Here is a 15,257-nt window from a genome sequence, read left to right on the forward strand (position 1 = left end):
AAACAAAAGCACCTCCAGAACACTGTTTAGGGATCTTAGTCTACTATCTTCCTTATTCTATTATTTCAGTTTTGTGCCTCTGTTTTTTTCATAATTCTGCCATCATTTTATTTTATTCTTCATATATATGAACTGTATATAGAATATTTATATCTCATTATTAGGAAAGTTTATTTGGGTAAGAGTCCTGTTAAATATCTCTGGTTTTTAGTTAAGTCTTTTGAAACATTATGCCTTGGAAGTAAAGTCAAATCAAAATAGACCAGGCTTTACAGAGAATTAAACACAGCTTCAAATAATCATACTTCTTCTAAATGCCTGCCAGAAAAACAATATATCCTTTTTGGATGAAAAGAATACTATCTTCAAAACTTTGTTTTTTGTTTTTGTTTTTATTTTTTAATACACAATGTCTCTCATTTAATCAAAAATTATTGAATGTGTCAGAAAACAAGACCAAGTCACTGAAAGCAAGAGAAAGAATTCACCAGAAATATATCAAATATATCAAATTTATATATTGGAGTTATCAAGCACAGATTTTAAATAACTGTTATTAATACATTTGAGAAAATAGCAAGATAGAGAATTTCACTAAAAAACTAGAATCTATAGAAAAAATCACACATAAATTCTAGAAAAGAAAATCAAAATAACTAAAATTAATAACTCAATAGTTGGGTCTTCAGCAGATTGGACAGAGTAGGAGAAAAGATTAGAGAATTGGAAGATAGACTACTAAAAACTATATGACAGAAAGCTCAGAGTGAAAAAAGTATGGAAAATACAGAATGCCGTGTGAGAGACTTATATGTCAAGGTAAAAAGGCTCTGTGTCAACATGTGTAAGAGTCACCCAAAATCAGTATTTCTGAACCATTCTGAGGATAAAATTTTACATGATACCACAAAAGAATTACTGTACTAGCCAGTGGGTATAATCTGCTCACCAGGCCACCATCTTAGAATCAGGTCACCCTCGTGGGCTCCAGAAGCTGGCTCCAGGTCCCAGGATAACCCTACAGGTGTGATTGTTGGAACTCTGCAGGCATCTGGTTTACCACAATGAATGGGCTAGAGAGTCAGTGAGTACACCCAAGGGGAGCAATGGGAATCTGACCCACTCAAGTTCTACTATGGGCTCCTGCCTGGATAACACTGCAGACTCTGGCTGATTCCAGCCACCAGGGTGCGACTGTAAAAATTTTAAAAAGGCACTCTGAAGTGGCAGAATTGCAGGGCAGAGAAAGGAAAATAGGTGTGGGCTACTAGGATCTCTTTCTACCCACAGAACACTTCTTCTCATACCAAAAGTATGGGGGTTTTCCTCAAACCAACAACCAATTCTCCAACTGTAGGACACCATTGAGTGTCCTACAATTTAATTCAATTGTGATGCTAACTACCTGGAATTAGGATCAGCTCCCACAATTTAAGGGCTCAGTCACACCACGGACTCCACTGTTTAGGGTTTTTATGCAATGTCCGTTATGTAGGCATGACTGAGTAGATCATTGATCATTGATAATTAACTCAATTTCCAGCCCCTCTTATCTCCCCAAAGGCTGGGGGATGGGGCTGAAAGTTTCAACCTTCTAATCAATGGTTGATTCCTGTAGCAACAAGCTCTCATGCTGAAGCTATCTGGAAGTCCATCAAAAGTCATCTTATTAGTAGAAACTCAGGTATGGTTGAAAGAGGCTTATTATGAATAACAAAAGATGGTCCTCTGACCCCTATCTCTCAGGAACTTCCAAGGGTTTTAGAAGCTCTGTGTCCAGAATTGGGCATAAAGACCAAATATTATAACAAAATACAAGGGTTTTAGAAGCTTTGTGCCAGGAACTATGGATGAAGCCCAACTATATGTTTCTTATTATATCACAATATCAAGAGGTCCAGGTCAGTGGGCCCACTTATTTGGGTGGAAGGGAGGTAGTGAAAGTTTTAATGATCACTTAGGGGACGGTGACCTAGCCCAAGCCAACGAGAATGATTCCTTGAGTTTTGCTTGAATTATTGGGGAAGAAATTTCTTCCCACTAAAAATTTTAAATTCGTTAAATATAAGCTTATAGATGTTATTGCCCATCTTCGTTACCACTGAGATGAATATAATTGAGAAAGAAGCCAGCAAAGTGCAAAACAAAACCAAGAAGTAGAGAGGAAAAATTAGTATTCCTGAAGACAATGATTAAACTACTGGGTCAAACCATACTGCCCCTAGTTTATTCCAGAAATTTACAGGTATATGAGCCAGTGTGTTTCCTTATTCACTTAAACCAGGTAGATTTGGACTTTCCTTACTTGAAACAGAGAGCTTTCACTCAGAGGCACAAGGTTTTTATCTTTGTCATTTCCTCTTGGGTGAGGATATTGTGGGCTGTTTTCAGTAGGACTGCTCCTCCCTGCCCAAGTCATGGAGCAGAGCAGAGTCTAAAATGTGACAGACTCTCAGGGAATGATAGTGACTTTTACGCCCATCTAAATTTGTTGACAGGATATATTTGTGGGGCCACAAGAACTATGAAACATGAATGTGGAACTCAAGCAAAATATCCAGATTAAGATGTAAGTTTTGGAAGCATTGTCATCATAGGAAGTTAAGTTTAGGCATTGTATGAGATATACAGTAAGAAGAAATGCTTGGGCTTGGACATAGACTATAGGAAGCTAATACTTAACAGGGAGCTAGAAGAAAAGAGTTAATGAAAATGAAAGAGACTGATCTGAGAAGTAAGAGAAAACCCAGGAGTGAACAATGAAGGAAAAAAAAAGAAGAATGGTTTGTGTGATCAAAAGTAGAGGAGAAATGACATGAGGCTCTTGGATTTAGCATTTAAATATTGAATTTGGCAACTTGAGTTAACTAAAGACCTTTAAGAGAGGAGTTTTGTTAGAGGAAAAAGATGAAAAAAGATTTTAGAGGTTGAGGGGCACACGAGTGTATCAATTAAGTTTGGCTCAAATAAAAACAATAATTTGTGTATACATAAAATCTTAAAATATATTTCTTTTACTGAGGAATTTTTAATATTAACAATGATTGCATTTTTCTCTAATATCAACTTGAGATTCATTTCTGTGAATTTTATTTGACTGCACGACCTTAAAAATAATTAGTAAATAATTCCTATTTATCTAAGGAATTCCTAAGCTTATCAGAAGTCATAAAATCAGAAAACAACTGAACTTCCATACACTTCTTACACATATTCTTGCATAGATAAACATGTATATAAAAGATCAACTAATTAAAATCAATGTGGTATATGCACTGAACTATATTTTCTTAAAATGTTGTATATTTTTTGAAATTAAAGTTTAAAGCTTTAAATAACACAGTAGTCCCCCCTTAGGCACAGTTTTGTTTTCCACAGTTTCAGTTACCCAAGTTAACTGTGGTCTGAAAATATTAAATGGAAAATTCTAGAAGTAAACAATGCATACATCTTAAATTGTGCATCATTCTAAGCAGCATGATGAAATCTTGCAATGGCCCATGCTGTCCCTCCTGAGGCTTAACTTCCCTTTGTCTGGCATTGTCCATTATCACTTAGTAGCTATCTTGGTTATCAGATCAATTGTTGCAGTATTGTATCCCTGTGCTCAAGTAACTCTTACTTTACTTAATAATGGCCCTAAAGCACAAGAGTACTGTGCCTAATTTATAAATTAAACTTTATCATAAGTATGTATGTATAGGAAGAGACATAGTATATATAGGGTTTGGTACTATGTACAGTTTCAGGCATCCATAGAGGGTCTTGTAAAATAGCTCCTGTAAATTGGGGTGGGGTCTACTGTGTTATCTAATCTTACATAGTTTATGACTTATATGAAGATTTACATGCATTCAATGGTATATTAATACATAAAAGCAGCTAAAGTACAAGTAAAAATAGACTATTGGTAACTTAAAAGAAAACCCAGCCAAATAATAATGAAGCAAAACAAAAAGGTAGATGCTCATTTCACTCTTTTATGAAAGGTATCAGGAGAGCTGGTATGGAACTCCGTGGTTATCCGGTTCTCAGTCTCTTTTATCTTCCTACTCCACTGTGTTTCGCCATGGCTATCATTGTGAAGGTTTTTTCATTGTCCAAGATGGTTGCTGGAGCTCTGGCCACTGCGCCTGTATTCCAGACAGGAGGAAGGAGAAAGAACTAATGGCAAGAAGGTACATGTCAATATTGTAAACTTAGTTTATGACACTTTTTTAAAAAAGTCCACCTAACCTCTGCTTAGAACCCATTGAAGATCAACAGTGGTCAGAAAGACTGGGAAATAAAATATTTCAGGTGGGCATTGATCAGGGAGCAGTTAGGTACAAAGAACAGGAGTGTGGATACAAGATAGGCAGCTAGAACTCTCTATCTCAATGAGGACTGGTATAGGATGAATGAAAATGCACTATATTTTCTAAGAAGTTTGGCAGAGATTATGAGGAAGTATGTTGAATAGAACTGGAGAGAATGGAAATTTTTAGAATAAGAGAGACTTGATGTTTTTGTGGGTTGAAGTGAAGAATGTATAAGACAGAGTGCAAATAATTGATGGAGCAAGGCCCTGGGAGAGGTGAGAGACAGGCACGAAGAGCACAGGAATCTTTACTGGTTCCTTGAGGTTCCATTCAAATCAATGTCAAGGTAGTCTGCAATACGTTGTTACCACGTGGAACCCATCTGCCTTGCATGAGATCTTAATGATAGAGTTATACTACTTTAATTTTGCTTGAAAATACTTTGCAAACATCATTTGTAAGGGTGTCATGTCCTTTATTGTAAAGAATAAGCTGTTTAACAAAAAAAGGATTGTTCTTCACAGGTTTGAGTAAAAAATCATGGCAAATAAAAGTTTTCTGGGTGAAATTTAAAAATATTTAGACGTGTACATACATAGGTAGAAAGCTGGCATAAAATAATATTTTTTGGATAAATGCTCCTTTGGATAATTAACATATCTAATACATTGTTTTCAAAATAAGCATTTGTGTTCTTTTTATTTACTCTCTGGCATACACAACCACACACACACATAAACATACACACATTTACTTTTAAAAAGGTATAAGTTGTTAAAAAGCAGGGTATATGGCAATAGCCTCTGTAGCTTAAGAGTCTTTTGATCACTTCCTGGCAAGTGTGATGTAATATCTTATTCCTCATACTCAGAATCACCAGTTCCAAATGCTGTATTCTAATAACCTATGACAGCATAAATAATTTATCGTTTTCCAACTTCCCCATCCCACAATTTTAAAAAGGAGGATAAATAGAATGTTTAACATGAATATTATCAGCTTTCTAACTTGTGGACAACAGGTAATCTTTTATTTCTTTTTTAGATTGAAAAATTTAAAGGTGTTAAGTCATTCTTCAGTTGTCCACATTATGTGTAAAAATAATTTCTTATTTTACATGGCCAGAAGTACTACAGCAGTATTTCTAAAGTTTAATGAAAATGCGTTTGCTTTCTTTGTGCTTAAAGTATGAATTAGTTCATCTGGCTTTATTTTAGGTTCATTCAATGACTGAAGTTATGGGCTAAAATGGTAATTTAGCAATCCCCATGTTTTCCGCAGTTAAAAAATCTGTATAATTTGAAGTTTAATTCAAATGATTTTGGCATTTTTATCAAAGGCTGACTAACTCTTTTCAAAAGGTTAGTTGAGATGTGTGGCTTAAGAGGGACAAAAATCTGACAGGAGCGGTGACTCACGCCTGTAATCCCAGCACTCTGGGAGGCCGAGGAGGGCGGATCACCTGAGGTTAGGAGTTTGAGACCAGCCTGGCCAACATGGTGAAACCCCGTCTTTACTAAAAATACAAAAAGTAGCCAGGCGTGGTGGCAGGCATCTGTAATCCCAGCTACTCGGGAGGCTGAGGCAGGAGAATCACTTGAACCCGGGAGGTGGAGGCTGTAGTGAGCTGAGATGGTGCTATTGTACTCCAGCCTGGGTGACAAGAGTAAGACTCCATCTCAAAAAAAAAAAAAAAAGAGAGAGAGAGAGACAAAAATCTAGTCCATGGATCCATTTCTATTTGTCAGATTGTTTAAAATCCTCAGTATTTTCAATGAAGTACTTTGAGGCTTAAGTTATAATGACTAAAAGATGATGATATTCATATTAACATGGAGATGTCACCATCACTACACATGCTCAATCAGCTTGATTCAATCACTGTACCCTCTTACTCTCTTTCTCTACTCCAGATTGGTTCCTGGCAAGTAAGAAATGTGGAGGAAGGGAGAGAGGAGAAAGGGTAGAAGAGAAAAAGATAATAAGAGAGAGAACGAGGGAGGAATGTTGGAAGAAATGGGAAGAACTCCTTTGATTTATAGGCATAATATTTTAGAGGGAGATAAAATAAATTCTAGATAAACTTTTTTCATCATTTTACATCTTTCTTTAAATGTTCTTATAGTCTCCCACTTATCTCACTTGCTCCAGCCACAATTCAACTTTGCCTCAATTCCCTTAATACTTATTGTGTCTTTCAGTAGTCCACATCACTTTTTTTATGGTTTCTTTTCATTTTATTTTTTTAGAGATAGGGTCTCACTATGTTGTCCAGGCTGGTCTCAAACTCCTGGCCTCAAGTGATTTTTTTCACCTTAGCCTCCCAAGTAGCTGGGATTACAGGCCTGAACCAGTGTGCCTGGCTGTGTTACAATTTTTTAAGTATGAAATTTTCTTTTCTAGCAGACCTGTTTCATAAGAGGGATTATGCCTCATTTATCTTTATAAATCCTATGTACTTAAAACAATACTAGCCACATAGGATGTGCCCTTTAAATATTTGTTGGGCTAATACATGAACTCATAAAGCTTTCTAGGAGCTTTGGAGTCCATTAGAATTAGAAATATTTAAAGAATGGTAATGGGACAATAAGTATCTTCATTAATTGTCATTATATCAACAAACACGATAATAATAAATTTTCAGGTCTTTTCAGTTGTCTTTCAATTATGTTACATTTAAATTTAAAACATTCACAGCAAATCTTGCTTTTTCACTTCTTTATAAGAGTAATATATTGCTGATACAAAAGAAACCTATCTGAGTACAGATAGGTTGTAAAAGCTGATACTTACAAAGTCATTATCAACAGAGAATGTGTGTAATCAAATTCATTATGTTGAACAGTTTAGAATCTACATATAGTAAAGGAGACCAAGTAAATCACTATTTCTAACAACAACAATCCTAAACCTAAAACAAAGGTATACTTCAACAATAAGAGAGAAACGAAGGAAGATAGATACAAAGAGAAAAAGGCACAATGAATTTCTTTGCTTGACTTTTCAAGACTGTGTCTGGATACTAGTGCCAACAACAGGAAGAAAAGAATCTGCTATGGTCTGAATTTGTCCCACCAAAAAGCATGTGGTGTAAACTTAATACCCAGTGCTACAGCATTGGGAAGTGTGACCTTTAGGAGGTGATTAGGCCATGAGGGCATGTCCTCTGAGTGGATTAATGCTGTCATCAATGAGTGGGTTCCTTAAAAAAGAATGAGTTCAGCCCTTTCTTGCTCTCTTTCTCTCACCCTCTCACCTTCCACCATGGAATGGTGCCCCAAGAAGTCTCTTGCAAGATACTGGCACCTTGATATTGGACTTCCCAGCCTCCAGAACTGTGAGCCAATAAATTTCTGTTTTACTATAAATTATCAAGCCTGTGGTATTCTACAATAGCAGGACAAAATGAACTAAGAAAATACCTCTGCTGACTTTGAGGGTTGAATTTCATTCTAAACCATTTTGGTAAGAAAATAAGCATTGTGGGGACAGGTACTAGCATAGGCATTATTACAAATTCAACCCTAAAACAATGAAATAGAGTAGAAATTTTAGAAATAAACGTTTACATTTTTGGTTAGTACCTTTTCCACCAGTATGCCAGGACAATTCAATGGGAGAAAGGATAGTCTTTTCAAAAAATGGGACAACATGAAAAAGAATGACATTAAACCCCATACCTCACATCATATACAAAAATTAATTGAAAAATGGATCATAGACCCAAAGGTAAGAGCTAACACTATAACTCTTAGAAAAAGTAGGACTAAATTTTTGTGACCTTGGATTAGGTAATGGTTTCTTAGAAATAGCACCAAAAGCACAAGTTGCCAAAAAAACCCCACAAAAAATAAATTGGACTTTATCAAAATTAAAAGCTTTTGTGCTTCAAAGGAAACAATCAAGAAAGTGAAGACATCTCACAGAGAGAGAAAACATTAGCAAATCATAAATCTGATAAGGGAGTGGTATCCAGAATACATGACAAACTGTTACAGCTCAATAATAGAAAGACAAATAATCCAACTTAAAAAGGAAGAAAAGATTTGAACAAACATATCTGCAAAGAAGACAAATGAGTGGCCAATAAATATATGAAAAGGTGCTCACCCTCATTAGCCATTAAGGAAATGCAAATTAAAACAACAGTGAGATACTACCTCACAACTACTAGGACAAAGCTATGGTTTGAATATGTCCCCTTCAAAATTCATGTTGAAACTTAACTAACCCCTATTATGGTGGTGTTAAGAGAGAGGCCCTTTAGGAAGTGATTAAGTTGTGATGGTTCTGCCCTCATGAATGGATTAGTGCCTTATAAAAGGGCTGGAAGGAACAACCTTAGGCTTTTTTTTGCCCTTCTGTCTTCTTCCATTTGAAGACGCTACCATGAGAAGACACCCACCATCAGTGGAACAGGCCCTCACCAGACACTAAATCTACCAGTGCCCAGTTCTTGGACTTTGCAGCCTCCAGAACTATAATAAATAAATTTCTGTTGTTTACAAATTACTGAGTCTCAGGTATTTTGCTACAGCAGCATAAAGGAACTAAGACAGACAGCTATATCAAGAAAGACAGACAATAACAAATGTTGACAAGAACATGAAGAAATTGGAATCACCATACAAGGCTGGTGGGATTTTAAAATGGCTCAGTCACTTTGGAAAACATTTTGGCAGTTCCTCAGAATTTTAACCTAGAGTTTCTATCTGACCCAGAATATTCAACTCCTTGTTATAGACCCATGATTTAAAGTATATGTCCAAATAAAAACTTGAATAAAAACTATGAATAAAAATATTCGGCCAGGTGCAGTGGCTCACACCTGTAATCCCAGCACTTTGGGAGGCCACAGTGGGTGGATCACAAGGTCAGAAGATCAAGACCATCCCGGCCTACATGGTGAAACCCCATCTCTACTAAAAATACAAAAATTAGCTGGGTGTGGTGGCACGCACCTGTAGTCCCAGCTACTCAGGAGGCTGAGGCAGGAGAATCACTTGAACCCAGGATGCAGAGGCTGCAATGAGATGAGATCATGCCACTGCACTCCTGCCTGGGCAACAGAGCAAGACTCTGCCTCAAAAAAAATATTCATAGCAACATTATTCTAAATAGTCCAACAGTAGAATCAATCCAAATGCCTATCAACTGATGAATAGATAAGTAAAATGTGGTATTTCCATAAAATAAAATATTATTCAGCAGTAAAAAGGAATAAAGTACTGTCACCTCCTGCAACATAGATGAAACTTGAAAACATTAAGTTAAGTGAAAGAATCTACTCACAAAAGGCAAATCTATAGAGATAGAAAGTACCTTAGATTGCAAGGAGCTGGGGGAGGGTGGGAATGGGGTGTGACTGTAATAAGTATGTGTTTCTTTTTGGAGTGATAAAATGTTTTAAAATTAGATGTTGGTGATGAATGCATAACTGTTATTCTACTATAACTCGCTGAATTGTACACTTTAAAATGGTTAATTTTATATGTCTATTATATCCCAATAAAGTTCTTAAAACAAACTAAACTAAAAATAGTAATAGTTCAAACTAAGACATTTAAAATGTTTCTCTGTTTATTGAATAAAGCCCAATTTGTAGTTTAATAAATATTATATGTAAAACAAAGGAACTAAAGAGATGATTTCTAAGTTTGTCTCCAGAAATACAATTTAGATTTCATGATTCTATAATTTTATACTGAAATCTGAAAAAAAAAAACTGTATCCATTTGTGATCAGTATGTGTCTCTAATTGAAGTTCTCTGTCTCTTTGTCTCTGCTTCTCTCTCCCTCGCTTCCTCCCTCCCTGCTCTCTCTTAATGTATTTCTTGATTTATTGAGAGTAAGAAGATTCAAAGCAGGGATAAGAGAGATCAAATTCACCTTTTATATAACATTTAAAGCTCAGTACTTTTTAAATAAATACAATCAAATTTTAATAATGTAGGCAGAGAAGTTCAAACAAAAGCATAGATTTTCTCAGAAAATCTGAGGTTTCCATAGATAACATTATTATTAAATTTTTATATATTTAAAACAAAAAATTAAAAAAGGTCAATTTACTTGCATGCTCATTCATGATCATTATTTGATTTGATCCCATGGTAAGTATTTCATAAATAGACCTCACCAACTATACAAACTCACTATAGTTATCAACTTGGCTATAAAAAGCATTCTAACATCATCAGTTGGAAATACGTTTTAGGAACTGGCAATTTATTTTTACATTGGATTGTAAACTAAAACTCTAATCAAATTAATATATTTGCTGAATGTCTCTCAGAGAAAATATTAAGAAGTCTAAAATAAATGGTTTCAACCCCAAGAAAGTTTATGTTTCTCTCTAGTTCAGAAGATCCTTGTCAAACCCCTGTTAATCCTTCAAGATCCACACCACTCTTCTCTGAAATCTTTTTTGCTTCTTGTAGAGAGACATGGTTAGGTGTGTTGCATCTTTCATTAATGATTGTTTTAAATATTAATATTATCTATTTACATGTCTGCCTGCCTCTCTGGGTCTTGAGCTCCAGGGTAGTGACCTTATCTTTTATTAATTGATTTATGTGACAAATATATATCAAATACATACTATCATGTTGGGCACATAATGGTAAAACTTTTAGTCAAATGGTAATAAAAAATAGGGATTGTAAGGCCACTAATTCAGTAATTTCTTCTCAGACTTGCAAGTAAAAATGTAACATTTTTATTTTCTGCAAAAGACCCTATTTCAGAATATAAATAAAGGTCTCAATTTCTTCCAGCATAAATCTCTTTGGTTTGTTTTAGGTTTTTTTGTGCAAGTTTTCAGTCTTTTAGATTTCCTCATTTTCCCTGTGATCTAATTTCAGGTGATTTCTGAGTTTTTTTGGAGACTCAAAAGTCCTTGTAGGAATAGGAGAAAATGGTTTTGAAGGCATAGTCATAGGAATCCTTGCCAGTTTTCTGAGAAGCATGCAGTCTTACCAACCCCTGACTGCTATCCACTGGATGTGACCACTTCTGTATAGTGTTTTGAGACATTATGTTGGCACCTACTCTGAAATGGTTCTAGTCACTTGCCTCCAATATTGAAATCCCAGAATATTTCAGCCATGACCCTCCAACCTTTGTCAGTCCATTAGCCTTCTCAGTATTCTCTATCTCAGATCATGGGAACACTTCTGAATCCATATGTACAGGACATGGAGAGACAGTGTATTTATTTAGACTTTTAGACTTTCCTAGTTCAGAGCCTCTTTGCATTAATGTTGTTGGTTCTAGGCTAGCTTGGGTGCCAAGTCAAATTCTGGGCTTCTCACAGAGTCCTGAAGCTTCAGCAAAGCTGTACCAGGGAAGCAGATCATCATCATTGACCTTGTATTTAATTTCTTCAGAGCTGGATCCTACTGGCAGTTGTCATATGCTTTCCTTTAACCCCGAGTCCATGATGACAAATGGGTTACACCAAGAAAAATCATCTAATCTGTAAAGTATATGTTAATTATATTGAATAGGCATTTATATACCATTGTGAAAGGTTTTTAATAGCCCCACCATTTAATCCTATACTTATAATTGGTGTGCAGCAGATGAATTTTTAGCCTTAACATTTTTTAAAATTTCGTGATAATTTTAGACACACAGAAGAGACGCAAAAAGTAGTACAGAGTCTATTTTATATATATTTACCCAGATTATCCTTATGCCAACATCTTACACAGCCAAAGAATAAAATGATCAAACCTAGGAAATTAACCTTGGTATTATGCTATTAATGAAACTACAGAATTTATTCAGATTTCACCATTTTTTCACTAGTTTATTTTATTATTTTTGGTTCAGGATCCAATTTAGAACCTCACATTGTACATAGCTGCTGAATGTCCTTAGCCTCTTCCAATCTGAGATGCTTTCTCAGTCTTTCCTTATCTTGTTTTTAATATTACTGAAGAGGAGTTATTTTATAGAACTTTGCTCCATTTGGGTTTGTTAGATTTTTTATTGATTATATTAAGGCTATGCATTATTAAGAAGAATAATGCATATCAATATCATTTACCTCTGATGATATGCACTTCTGAATGCATCATATCCAAAGTAAATGACATTGATATGTCTTATTACTGATTATATTAATCTTGATCACTTGGCGTCTGCCATGTTTTTCCATTGTAAAGTTGCTGTTTTTCTCTTTGTGATTACTAAATATTTTGAGAGAGATACTTTGTGATTGCAGTGGATTGAATGTTTATGTTCCTTCCAAATTTATGTCCTGAAATTCTAACACCCAAGGTCATGGTATTTGGGAGTGGGGCCTTTGGGAGGTGATGAGGTCATTCGGGTGGAGCCCTCAAGAATGGGATTAGTGCTGTTGTAAAAGAGACTTCAGAGAGATTGCTTGCACCTTCAGCCATGCGAGGTTACAATGAGAAGATAGCTTTTTATGAGGAAGTGGGTCCTCACCAGACACTGAACCTGCCAGTGTGTTTATTTTAGACTTACTGGCCTTCAGAACTGTTGAAAAATACATTTCTGTTGTTTATAAGCCACACAGTCTATGATCATTTGTTAATGCAGTCCAAATGGACACACAGTGACTATGCAAAATCTTATTTCTACTTAAATTTTACCTATCAATTTTAGGATCCATCACTGATCCTGCATAAGTCAATTATTGCTGTGGTGTTCTAGCAATGACTTTCTATTTTCTATTTCCCTTATGCCTTTTAAGTTTTTAATTAGAAATATTTCGTAAGGATGATTTGTCTCTTTTCCTCTACTGATTTATTTATTCAGTTTTTTTTTAATATCAGAATGAGTATTTATTTCATTCTTTGGGTTACAATACAATACTATCATTACTTTTTTTGTTTCTCAAATTGTCCTAATTTTGGCTATTGGGATTTTTTTTCAGGTTGTCTCTTTTGCCCTTTGAATATGCTTTGATATTTTATTTGCTCATTTTTAATTACTTTCTTACTCTCCAGTATCACAAATTGTTCCAGGATTGTTTATATTTTTCCTGCCATAACCCTGAAATGAATCATTTTTCCAAGGAACCATAGTTCCTTTTATGAGCACATGATATTTAGAAATGAAGCTCTTTGCTGCTGGCATGATACTTCTTCTAGCACATTTTAATGGATACAACTGGAGATACATGTATTACACTAACTCATGCCTATAAACATAAGGCATGAGCCTCATATTTGTTTATCTACATTTGCAGATATTTGAAAATCATGAGTTCATACTGATATCTCCATCTCTAATCCAGTACCAGTGGTTCATTCCAGCATCCACCCTTTCCTTATTTGTAACTTCTTCTTTTGACAGTGAGAAACTCAGCTTTCACTGTCTACACTATATTTACTTATTAGCTCAACCTTACTATAAAATATGAAATGAAACCCATACCCATGTAAGAGACTAATTTGCCAACTGTATCAGGAATTAGCAACCTATGGCTCACAAGCCACATCTGACCCTGTATTTGTTTTTATAAATAAAGTGTTGTTAAAACATAGCCACACTCATTTATTTATGTATTGTCTATGGCTGCTTCTGTGCTCCAACAGCAGGGTTGAGAAGTGGTAATGGAGACTATATGACCCACAAAGCCTAACATATTTACTATCTTGTTTTTTACTCAAAAAGTTTGCCAACCCCTACACTAGAGCAGAGTGTTAGTGTACATTACTTTTTGTCTTTAAAATATACCGTCACATAACTGCTTACCAAAGTTACTTAAGTCAGCTCCTTTCTTCCTCATGTCCTTTAGTGTGATCATGTGATTCATCTGTAATACAGCTAGATTTATTTGGCAGTTTGCGTTCCACTCCTCCACACATCCTGTTTGATTTTTAAAAAAGGAACGTGCAGTAAAATTCACTCTTTGCGGCTTACGTTTCTGTGAGTTTGACAAATGCAATGAGTCATGTGTCCACAGTCACAGTTTCATACAGAACAGTTTTCTCATCCCCCAAGTTCCCAGTTGCTTCTAATTTATATTCACCTCTCCCATCATTCCTCTACCACCGGCAACCATTAAGCTACTTTCTATTCCAATAGTTTTGCCTTTTCCAGAGTGTTTATTAATGAAATTATACAAAATGAGCCTTTTAATGTCTGACTTATTTCATTTAGCAAAGTGTATTTAAAATACAAGCATGTTGTGCTAAAATATTTACTACCTGGTCCTTTACAGGAAAACATTTACCTATCCCTATTGTAAAGAATAGAAAGGAGTGGAAGTATATGGGTGACCTTGTTGGTGACATAATATAGAAAGCAAAGAGGAAATGAAAAATTGTTCCATAATTTCAACTTTGGATTATTGAGAGCATGTTTTACCTTAATAAAAATAGGAAGCCCTGTATTTGGGCTTTTCTCAAATGGCCAGACACCTTTGTGTAATTTACCACTATGTAAAGCTAAAATAATGAACAGTAAGTAGTCATGAGTTTGCTATGCAGCAAATCCTATGAAATATATCAGTTTTAAGTTTAGTTGCTGGGGAATGGAAAGCACTCAGTGGTAGGAGTTGGGATGCAAACATAGAAGAAAGGGTTTCTATGTCATTTGGCCTGTACGATTTTGTCTGTCTAAAAAAGGGTTGTTCAGAAAGCTCCTCATAAGGCAACAATAGAAGTCATTTCATAAATTTTTTTTTCAGATAACATATTGTGATGGTTAACTTTATGTGTCAATATGACTGGAATATGGGATATCCAGGTAGCTAGGAAAATATTTCTGAGTGTATCTGTGATGGTGGTTTTGGAGGAGATTAGTATTTCGGTCAGTAGACTCAGCAAAGAAGATCCACCCTCAACAATATAGGCTGGCATCATGCAGTCTGTTGAGGGCCCATATCAAACCAAAAGGAAGGGGCAAATTCTGTTTCTCTCTTCTTGAGCTGGGACATCCATCTGCTTATACCCTTGCACATCGGAGCCTTCAGAC

The 15,257-nt window shown here is 35.4% G+C and overlaps 1 long non-coding RNA gene across 3 annotated transcripts in view; it reads right to left on the bottom strand.

Moving 5' to 3' along the window:
* Positions 1-370: 370 nt before the first annotated feature.
* LOC105377328 (uncharacterized) overlaps positions 371-15,257 on the bottom strand; it is a 29,105-nt gene continuing 14,218 nt past the window's right edge. For 2 of the 3 annotated variants that reach the window (XR_938981.2, XR_938979.2), the window contains 2 exons: positions 14,034-14,147; positions 371-4,133 (listed from right to left, as the gene is read on the bottom strand). This is a non-coding gene — a long non-coding RNA (uncharacterized LOC105377328). The remainder of the gene's footprint in view (positions 4,134-14,033; positions 14,148-15,257) is intronic. The other variant, XR_938980.2, reaches the window with a different exon arrangement.

Source organism: Homo sapiens, chromosome 4 (genome assembly GCF_000001405.40).
Source record: "Homo sapiens chromosome 4, GRCh38.p14 Primary Assembly".
NCBI classification, from domain to species: Eukaryota; Metazoa; Chordata; class Mammalia; order Primates; family Hominidae; genus Homo; species Homo sapiens.